At 34.6% G+C, this 11,578-nt stretch overlaps 1 pseudogene, besides 2 other annotated features; it reads right to left on the reverse strand.

Moving 5' to 3' along the window:
• Nucleotides 1,001-1,502: an enhancer, noted in NCBI's record as "H3K4me1 hESC enhancer chr8:112623679-112624180 (GRCh37/hg19 assembly coordinates)". NCBI's record gives its function as "activates a minimal SCP1, AML or CMV promoter by ChIP-STARR-seq in primed H9 embryonic stem cells {active_cell/tissue: H9 hESC(primed)}" and the evidence as "EXISTENCE:reporter gene assay evidence [ECO:0000049][PMID:30033119]".
• Nucleotides 1,503-2,002: an enhancer, noted in NCBI's record as "H3K4me1 hESC enhancer chr8:112624181-112624680 (GRCh37/hg19 assembly coordinates)". NCBI's record gives its function as "activates a minimal SCP1, AML or CMV promoter by ChIP-STARR-seq in primed H9 embryonic stem cells {active_cell/tissue: H9 hESC(primed)}" and the evidence as "EXISTENCE:reporter gene assay evidence [ECO:0000049][PMID:30033119]".
• Nucleotides 11,009-11,348, reverse strand: H2AZP7 (H2A.Z histone pseudogene 7; annotated as a pseudogene).

Consider the following 11,578-nt stretch of genomic DNA (forward strand, 5'->3'; position numbering starts at 1 on the left):
GCCACTGCACTCCAGCCTGGGCGACAGAGCGAGACTCCACCTCAAAAAACAAAAACAAAAACAAAAACAAAGCCTATGGAATTTTGTTCATTTTTGCAATGAATTTATAAATCTATGAAGAGATAACTGACTTCTTAACATTATTGAATCTTATAATTTATTAACATGTTATATATGTCTTCATTCAGTTAGATCACCATTAGTTTCTCTCAACAAGAGTATTTTAGTTTTCAGTTTATAGGTCTTCAATGTTTCACTAAAATTTCCCTTAAATGTGCTATGCTTTTAGATGCTAAAATATGTGGTATTAAAATGATCATAAGTAGGATTTAGTTAATTTGAATTTCTAATTTTTCATTAGTAGCATATTAAAATTAAATTGACGTTTGCTTACTTATGATCTTACTAAATTCACTTTTTATTTCTAGTAACTTTTGGTAAGATTATTCAGAATATTCTGAATAAGCAAACATATATGTGAATATAGAACATTTACTTCTTCTTTTTTAACGTGTATGAGTGTTTTTTTCCCTCCCCTTAAAACAATGGCTAGGACTCCTAGTATAATGTAGGATAGAAGTCGTAAGAATAGAAGTTTTTACATTTTCTATCACGACACCTTCAAATTCATTGATCTTTTATTTTGCTGTGTTTAATTTACTTGTTATTATAACATGCATTTTTGGAATTTCAATTATTGTATTTTGTAACCCCAGTGTGTTATACAAGGATCACCTATATATACATGTGTGTTTATATATAGTTTTGAGATTCTTATTTACTAATTCCATCATCTCTATCCTTTGTGGCTCTATTGTTTAAGCTTCGTTTTGACTCTATCCAGAGACTTATAATATGAGATCTCTTCGTTGCAGGTAGAGTGATCATGATGCATTTCCCATCCTTTGTGAGATCTTGAAAAACAAATTCTATTTTTACTAGCTTCAGATAATTTCCTCTCATCCATCCACAAATCAATAATCAGCCAAACATGTACACTCTCTTTCTCTCTACGTGCAACTTCTCTTCTCCCATATTATGAATTATAAATTCTTTCTGCCCTGACTTTCCCACGATCTAATCTTTATTTCCCCTATCCCATGCTCTGTAGCCTGGAAAATGACACCCAGTGAATAAACAATGACATTGTTAGTGTCACAGGATCCTCTGGGTGTCAGTTTGCTAGCCAGAAACCTCTGTGGCCAGTAACGCCTCTGCTTGAGTTTTAGTTGTGCCTGCTGGTCTTATTCTGCCTACTTGGCATGGCAGGCTGCGGTTGGATTGTGCTACCAGCCTGAATCCCACACCTGCCGAGGGCAAGCCAGGCGGGGAGTGGTGAGGTATGTGGGAATGAGTGAGTCCAGGGTCCAGCCACTTTGCACAGCTAGGTGCCCTGGCTGCTGCAGCAAAGCAGGCAGCTCCAGGAGCCAGCACAGGCCCTGGCTTCTTGCAAGGCTGTGGCTACACCGGGCATACTGTAAGCAGCTCTCACTGCAGGCACCAGGGTCTGGACAAGGAGAACACAGTGGCACGTGAAAACTTGAAGATGCCAGCAACTGCAGAGGCACAAGGTGTAGGGCAGTGTGCTACAGCTCTCTCATTCTTGCCGCCCACAGCTTGGCAAATGGGTGGTGGGTGCGTTTGAGCTCATTTAGTCCCACCCTTTCGACCCAGCCTGCAGCCCCTGGGCTGGCCCAGCTCCACTGCAACTTCCCTCATATGGGGCAGCTGCCTGATGCCGGCAGAGGGAGGGAGGGCTGTAGTGTTACAGCTAGGGCTCAGGGAATCCAGAGGTCTGGGACCCCAGAAGAGTCACCGTTCTTCACTCCTGCCATCCAGCAAACAGAAGTGTGTCACTGCCCGCAGCTTGGTGAGCAGGCCAGGAACATGTTACAAGCCTTTTTGATCCTGCCCACAGCTTGGCAAGCCAGCCAGGAACATGTTACAGCCCTTTTCATACCCACTGTTCAGCAAGTCCTGAGTTCTTGTACTGTGTCCAGGAAGAATGAGGTTACATGGACAACAGGAGGGGCTGAGCAACAGTGGGGAGCAAAGAGAAAAGTTTTATTGAGGAACAGAACAGTGTTCAGAGGAAAGGAGACCTGATATGGGTAGCTCCTACCTGCAGGCAGGTAGTTCTGAGTGTGGCTGAGTCTTTGGTTTTTATGGGCAAGAATGGAGGACATGCATGCTGATTGATCCATAGATGGGCCTGGAAAAAGCACCATTTGATGACTGAAAGGCATCAAGCAAGTTCTCACACCAGGTCATGGATTCTACCCAGAACTGGCAGCCTGGTTTTCAGACTTCAGACTGTCTTTGTTTCAAAGGTCAGGTTTCACTGGAGACCCACCCCTATCTTCCTAGGAATTTTTCTGGCTCCTGCTGTTATCACTAGGACTTACCTCATTTATTGTGCGTCTTTATCAGGCAACAAATCCTCTGCTGCCTGTTGTTCAATATCTGAAAACTGTTGTTCATCTGCATGTGTCCTGTTTCTTATTGTACACAGCTGGAGGAAAAGACTAACAGATGTCAATATTCTATTAGGAGAATTAGAAATCATAAAAAGGGCTGGGCGTGGTGGTTCACACCTGTAATCCCAGCCCTTTGGGAGGCTGAGGCAGGCAGAACATGAGGTCAGGAGTTGGAGACCAGCCTGGCCAACATGGTGAAACCCTGTTTCTACTAAAGGTGCAAAAATTAGCCGAGCGTGGTGGTGCACTCCTGTAATCCCAGCTACTTGGGAGGCTAAGGCAGGAGAATCGCTTGAACTTAGGAGGCAGAGGTTGCAGTGAGCTGAGATCGTGCCATTGCACTCCAGCCTGGGCAACAGGGTGAGACTCTGTCTCAAAAAAAAAAAAAAAAAAAAGAAATCATAAAAAGATTAGACTTATTGATTCATTGTGCTTAGTTTTAAAAGCAGCTTTGAATTGCTATAATATTAAAGTTTATATAAGTATTTATCATTTTGTCAAAAACATTTTTATACCAGATGAGTAACACAAAATTATCAAAAATCAAGTACAGGCTCAGAGTGTACTGCCTGTCCTCTGTCATTCTTTCCACCCCATATTGGGCTTTAATTTAAAGCAGACAATTGCATATGCACATATTGTGCTGATATGCCAATGATTTTCAAGGGAATTACCAATTTCAAATGTTGGGAGTCTGAATTTCAGATATTGTTTTCATACCTTTTGGATTGATTCATTGTAATCATAAAGGCATATAAACATCTTCACATCTACACATGTTAATATAGACTGTTTCATATCTTCCTATGTTTTATATGGCTGTTTGGATTTCTGGTTAAATTTATATAGATTTTCAGTAATTTTTGATTCACAAAATAAAAATGTAATTATTATGTGTCAGCTGCCTTGTTTTTTGTCTACTGTTCTAATTAGAATTGATCTCAATATCTCACATTCTAAATAGAATTGATCTCAACATCTCACACTACTTCTTATTTTACTCTGCATCCAAATGAACAATCAATAGAAACCATTCTACAAATATTTTATTGTAAATATAGAGAATGGTTACCTGAAAAGATAGATTAATTCAAATATTACTAAACAAACTACAACATGAAACACTTTAAAAATAACACACCTAGTGTTTTATTCTGCAGAAATGTTTTCTGCAGAGCATCAGTCTGGGAATGCTGATTAAGTAAAAATTCCATAAACTCACTGTTTGCATTAGATGCAAAATGAGTAAAAATTCTCAAAATTAAAGCAGGTTAAAACTGAAAATATCTTATAATAAGTACCTATAATTTTAAAAAATGTATTTCTTAACTTCTGATTATGGGGAATAGATCAGTGTTATTCAGAGGTTGTAGGGTAAGCAGTTGACTAGAAAAGACAACATGACAGGATTATTTGGGGTATACAGTAGTTCTGCATTAAGTTTCTGATGGTGGTAGCATAGCTTTATCTGCATTTCTCTGGACTTAAAGAACTGTATTCTAAAAATAGTAAATTTCATAGTTTATAAGTTATAAATACATAAATAAATGTGATTTTTTTTTTTTTTAGAAAAAAATACTTTCTTTGGATTTGATAGTTTTAGCTGTGCCCCCATCCAAAATCTCCTCTTGAATTGTAATCCCCATAATCTCCACATGTCTATAGTGGGACCAAATGGAGGTAATTGAATCACGGGAGCAGTTTCCCTGATGCTGTTTTTGTGATGTGAATCTCATGAGATTTGAGGGTTTTATAAGCGTCTCATTTCCCCTGCTTGCACTCACTCCATCCTGCCCTGTGAAGAAGGTTCCTGCTTCTTCTTCACCTTCTGCCATGATTGTAAGTTTCCTGAGGTCTCCCCAGCAATGCAGAACTGTGGGTCAATTAAACCTCTTCCTTTAGGAATTACCCAGTATGGGTATTTCTTCATAGCAGTGTGAGACTGGACTAATACAGATTGCATTTAGTTACAGGAGTGAAGGCATAGCTATTTTAAAGTCTCACATAACCCACCAGATATATTCCGCATGAACAGGAAGGACAATGTTATAGTGTTTAGAGTTTTCTTGCATATAAAATAGCCTGAAGATATTGGGGGGGAAATAGTGATTATTTCCTATATGCATAATATTACTTAGCTAAAGGAAGCATGTAAATCTCTGTCTGTTTTTTACCTCAAGTATATGTTCTCATATTTGGAAAACAAGTGGGGGGTAGACAAAGGCTAAATTATTAGTATTTTATTTGTGTAGCAGCATTAAAAGAAATGCTATTAGTTTAAATTAAAGCACAGCAAGGCACTTCTGCATAATTCAACAAACAATTTAACAAACTCCAGCCTCCTCATTACTGCTTCCTAAATAGCCAGGCAGCTTGAGGACAATGAGAAAAATATTCTATAATGAAGGGTGATCGTAAGAGGGCAGAGGTGAAAATCCAGGAAAGCTTGCTTTCTAGAAAACAGATGGGAAGATGCAACCAAACGCCTAATTCTCATGACAGACTTTAAGTGCTGTAATTATAGAATAAAATGCAAAAACGTATTTTGTAAGAGGAATTTAATTAAAAGAAAAGTCTTTCTGAATTCTTTTATTTTCATTTGTGTTCTTTGTTAATGTTTGAAGCAAGCAAAATAACCACAGAAAGGTGGTGTTTAGGTAATACAAACAATGAACACATAGGTCACTTATAAAAATCTGCTGCCAGAGCCATACTTGTAACAATCACACAGAAACCAATTTTTTATGCAGCAGAAGACCTAGTAAACACATTGTTTATTCAGATGTCCTTATTCCTGTATAAGACATGTTTGCCCTCTGAACTTTTACAGTAAACTGAATTGGCCAGAAAAACTGGATGTGCACCTTTTCTCTCTCCTAAATGTCTACCTGTACTACAAAGCATTCAAATAATAATAACTACCATTTATGTGAGATGTTTACATTTATTTCTCCAATTCTCATCACATCAGATTTGCATATGAGAAAAATGGGAATACCGAATGGGAATCATTTATATAGGATCCAAATTTAGTGAAAGATATAATAGATTTTCATACTCAGATTCATCTGACATTAAAGTCTGTGCTCTCTAATTTATTGATAAATTTCTTAAATAAATATTTATTGAATACCCTCCATGGTCCAGGAATTCTATAACAGGGATCCAAACAGACACAGTCTCTGTCCTTATTTACAACCAATTAGGGAAAAATAAAATAAAGATTAACCAAGTATTTATACAAATCATTTTATTATTACATTTGTGATTGCTGACATAAAGGAGAAATGAACCACTGTTCATTTTTGATGTATTGCAGAGGGTGATAAACAACTTGGTGACAGTGTGTAGGCTGGAGTTATCCAGACAAATGTCATTTAAAATATATAAAATTATAGTATTCCAGACAGTAACAACATAAATTGTAAACTGATTTACGGAAATGCTACATTATATGAAATATAAAAGTGAACTATTTTGCAAGATCAGGTTTTCATTTTAAAAGCACAGACAGTACACTTTTTTGTATTACCCATCACTACACTGATGATTGCTATGGAAGTCTTTTCTCAAAGCCTTTTTCAAACTTGCTACCAATGTAATTTAAGGTACCAATCAATAAATGTTCATACTCCATTACACTGATTGAATTGACAAATATAAATATAAGGTAAGGAGCTAAGCAATTTAGTCCAAAGGTCAACTTATGTTTGAAGGTCTAGGTGAAATGCCATCACCTCTTTCATGCCTTGCTTAACACTTTCCACTAATGGCAGAATTAATCTCTTCCATTTGATTGTTCCAATATATCTTAGTAAGCTATTCTTGCAATGATGTTGTGAAACAAATTACTCCCACACACTACAGCTTTTAACAATATGTACTACTGGCCCTCTGTATCTGCAGGTTTCACATCCATGGTTTCAGCCAACTGCAAATAAAATATATTTCAAAAATAAAAAATAATATAAAATTTGAAAACAATATATTATAATGACTATTTACATAGCATTTACACTGTGAAGGGTATTATAAGTAATCTAGAGATAATTTAAAGTGTTTAACAGAATGTGCATATGTTATATGCAAATACTATGCCATTTTTATATAGGGACTTGAGCATCTGAGGATTTTGGACTCTTGAGCATGGAAGGGTTGGAACCAATTCCCTGCAGATACCAAGGGACAACTCTATTTATTTTTCCTTCATGACTCTGTTGGTTAGTACTCTGATGGGCTTGCCTGAACTCCAGACTGTGGATCTAATTTAATTCCTCTTAACTATTCCCACACTGTCCTCAGGTCAACAGCAATCTGAGACACACTCTTCTCATGGCAGATTATGGGACCATAAAGCAGGTAAGTAGTTAAGTTTTTGGCTCAGAACTAATAGACTGATATTTCTTTCTACATTTCTTTCACCAAAATAAGTCATGGCTAAGAGCAACATTAATAGTGCAAGGAAATATTCTACGCATCTTCTGCCACAAGGTAGGAGGAATTGAACAGCGGAAAACAATAACCCAAGCTAACACACCAGGACATTTAATATGTATAGCTTTCATTATAATATATTCAAATATATATTAAATAATTGTGAATATTTGCTTCTCCTGGTTTAACAAAAGGTATGCCAAAATTCACTTATTCTGACATCATGGACTCTATTGCAGAAAATTTAATTAAATAAAATAATAATTAGATAAATATTTTAATTCATCGTTTTGTTTAAAGGATATTTAATTAATAGTCCATAAATAAAACAGTTCTAAATTAAAACACAAGAAACAGTTCAAAAATTATAAATCAACTCTATCGAGAATATTGTAGAAGATTCTCTGTATGCCCAACTCATAACATTTTTTTCAGTGCCAAGTCAGCCAATATCCCCATTTTTGTCATATTTATACTATTGTTTTAGTTTAGAGTTAAGAACCTATGGATTCAGTTTTAAACAATATAGTTTAACTGTGACCCTTTAAAATGTTAGACAATTAAAAACACTCTTTATACATGTTTGTGACCTGATTTTTTCACTAAATACGATATTTTAGATTTTTCCATGTTGACATATGCAGCTACAGTCTGTTGATTTACATTATTGTGTAGTATTTTTGTATGAACATACCAATTTACTTTTTATATTTTCATTATGGCTTATAGGAGTTCTTTTCCAACGTTTATACTTCCCTTATTATGCATTTTTGGAAGCAAATATCTTCTTCGATTTGTGGCTTGTCTTTCTAATTTTAATGGTGTCTTTCAATTAATAACAGTTCTTAATTTCTCAAAAATTAAAATTTTTCTTTATTGTAGTTTTGTGTCTTTTAAAAGACATTCTTAACCAGAATACACAAACCATTTTTCAATATTTTAAAGGTGGTTTTCCTTTATAAATTATGTCTTCACTTCACCTGAAATTGATCTTACTTGCAGTATGAGGTAATGTGCCCAGCATCATTTTTTTTCTCACAGATGCAAAGCTGTTTCAACAATATTTATTGAGAAATTGTTTCTCTATCTATTGATCTGATGTGTTCATATAATGACTGGGTATATTTTAGGTTTTCTATTTTATTCCTATAGTGCTACTATCTTACTTTTATTCAAGAAAGATATTAGAAGCTCATTATCAATGTCTACAAAACTACCTGAAGGGGTTATTATTGTGATTATTTGTTATTATTACTGTTTATTGTTCTTCCAGTCTTTGGTCATGGTATATCTATTAATTGATTGATTTCTTTTCAATTTATTATGTATTATAATAATGTATGATTATATGTTATGTAATTAATTTTTTCAGCATATCACATTTGTATGCTATTGTAAATAGTATATGGTATATTTTATTTCACTTTCCAATGGAATTTTTCTTATATAAAGTATGTTGATTTTCATTACTTCTACTGTACAGTATAAAACTTGAATAATTATAATTCTTGTTTCATTACCTCTAATCTCTGCTTGATCCTTTTATTTTTGTTTCTTTATCTTTTTTATCTTATTTATTTTTAATTTTACTTTTAAAATAATGTATATTTATGTCCATCAACAACGGAGCAATAATTTTTCATATAGTTAATATGCCTTTTGATATGTGAAAATGTTTATCTCATGTTTATGTCTTCCCATTTGTATTTCACACCTTCCTGCTTGGATCACTCTCCTCTGCCTAAAGTAGACCCTTTAGAATTCCTCTGGTGAGGTCTGAAGATTTTATTCTTTAATGTTATGTTTTTACCTGAAAATGTGTTTAGTACACACTTGTTCTTGAAATATATTTTTACAGTGTGTAGGATTCCACCTTGCCATTTAGTCTCTTTAGTAGTTTGAAGATATTGCCTTCCAGATAAGGATGGAGAATGTGTTTATTGCTGGTTAGACATCATATTGAAAGTATAGACTTTTGGAGTCCAGAGCTTTATGGAAGATGGCTTCCTATAAAACTCCACATCTGAGGCAGTGCCTAGACACTGTGTTCTACTAAATCAGAGCTCAAAGCTCAAGATTAGCAAGTTCTACAACCACCATCAGAGCGACAGCAGCTTTAGTACTCTGCAGACCACTGTGTTCAGTCCTGTCCTGTCCTCCCTGTGTTCCAGCTTTCACTGACTCTCAAGCCAGCTCTTTTATGTTCCTGTCAAAATTGCATAAAATATTTTAGCCAGAATTTTGGGATACTTTTCAGATACAGAATGTCTTAAGTAATCCAGCTAGGCATGTTACTGGAAACAAAATGTTCTAATATTTACAGGTTGCAAATATTAAAAAATTCTTCCAATATTTAGTACATTTTTATCTACTTTCTGCCAATTAAGACTTGTATTAATATAGTTTTGAACTTGTGTTCTTAAACATTATTCCTCAGTTTTATTTGTTCCTTGACCAGTAACATGGAATCTATCTGGAATCCCTTTCTTGCTTCATAATTGGGACAGTTTAATTCTTACCTGCAAGTCACAAGCCTGTCTCGGAGCCCAAGCCTACACCAAAGGGCTAATTAAGCACATCTTGCACAATGCTTTTGCACTTAATCATCCTTTATACTCATTTGGTCCTGATTTTTTTTCTAATTAATTTTTAATACTAATGGGTTTTACATAAAAAAGATTATTCAGAACATATTTTCAGCATTGTATATCTAAATTACCTATATAATCTGTGATATCTTCATATTAATTTAAAATCAAAAGAGTTTATGAGAACTATGGAGGAAAGGAATTTTATGAGAAACCTACAGGGAATAATGCATTTATCACTAATTTAACTTAAAACATAGTAATTTAATTACTATTCTTTACATAGATCAGTTTCAAACTAGATCAAGTCTACTTACTTCATTCTGAACATTTCAAGGCCTCAATAAAATTATCAGATTTCTTAAAATACCTTAAATCAGGAGAAAAAAAAATCCTTATTTATTCAAGGATGACAGTGTAAATATTTTACAATTTTTTTTTTTTGTCAAAGAAAAACAAGGATATCTTCAACAGATGCAACTATCACCAGTTAAATATGACGTTGGAGGACTGTTGGAAACAGAACTTCATGATTAATTTGACATGATTTTGTGTAATTTAGGTTTCATGCTTTTTATTTCAAGATTATACATTTGAATCAATTTTGCTTGACTATATTGTCCAGTAGCTAACTACTCAAATGGGAATGCTTGTGTACTTTTAAATTAAGAGTGTTTAGTGAGAGCAATTTTGAAGACAAAGGTAAACAAAATAGAGTATTAGCTTATCTCTACAGTTCAGTGGTACAAGTATAAAGATTTTTTTGCAATGTAATTTCTATCAAAGCTTATGTCTTATTAAATTGCTGCACTTTGAGCTTATTTTTTGCAGTATTAAAATTTTATGAATAAAACCTAAAAATTACCCTTGATTTATCTTACTTTAATTTCTACAACATGATTCTAACTCCAAAACATATCATTAATTATTAATAAGTTTTTCATCTCCAATTCCCTGATCCTAACTTAAATTAACATCATATGTCACAAGAAATATTATATTTTCCTAATGATATTGTTTACTTCATTTTTGCTCATACTGCCAACACCCCATGCCCTTCTCAGCATAGCAACAGCAAGGTTGACTTAATTTTATTTTGTTGATTGGTGGTTTTTTTTTGCAGGGTTAGGCAGAATATGACCTTTATTTGAGCTTACCCACCACAGTGGAAATACAGTCTGTACACCATATGTTTGTTACTGTAACTTCTGTATCACAATTAAAATCAAAACAGTTTTTAAAAAGTAAACCCAATCAAAACCCACTACTTAGGAATCAATAAGGTCTTTGAAGCCACAGCAACAATTAAATATGGTTAAGACCCATACGTAGAAAGATGGTTGGTTGGAAAATGAATTAAACTTCCAACTTGCTCACATAAAATTACAACAAGGCAAAACTGTTTTTCATAGAGATACAGTCCACTGGAATCACCAACACCAGACAACTTTTGTTTTCTAGTCCTGGGATAATAATGAATCCAGACATCTTTTAGACAGTTTTCTGTTTTCTTTCTAATCAGAGATTTATGGATGTATGCAATGACACTACCATTAGTAATTGTAATCTTGATAAGATAGTCCAATTCTTCATCACCATGAACAGCAAGTTGCAAGTGACAAAGAGTAATATGCTTTACCTTTAAGCCTTTGGATGCCCTTCCTACCAGTTCTAGTACCTTTGTGGTGTGTACTCCAGGATGGCTGCATGGTACTCAGTGGCAGTTGTGCCCACATGTCCATGGCTGTGTTCCTGGATTCAGGCGTTGATGAAGACAGACCAGCAAGAACTGCAAGCACACTCTCTGTTAGTAGGAAACCACCGTTGTCTTGGCCTTTTCTAAGTCCTTTATCATGCACAACACGATGTTTTAAGGTATAGGTACCTTGTGGAATGACTAAATTGATTTAATTAATATGTGCATTTCCTGACATAGTTATCAGTTTTGTGGTGAAAGCACTTTACATCCACTGTCTTGGCATTTTTCAAGAACACAATAGATTAACTGTAATCACCATGGTGTACAATATATTTCTAGAACTTACTCCTCCTATCTAACAGATTTTTCAAATCTTTTGA

This window comes from Homo sapiens, chromosome 8 (assembly GCF_000001405.40).
Source record: "Homo sapiens chromosome 8, GRCh38.p14 Primary Assembly".
Lineage (NCBI taxonomy): Eukaryota > Metazoa > Chordata > Mammalia > Primates > Hominidae > Homo > Homo sapiens.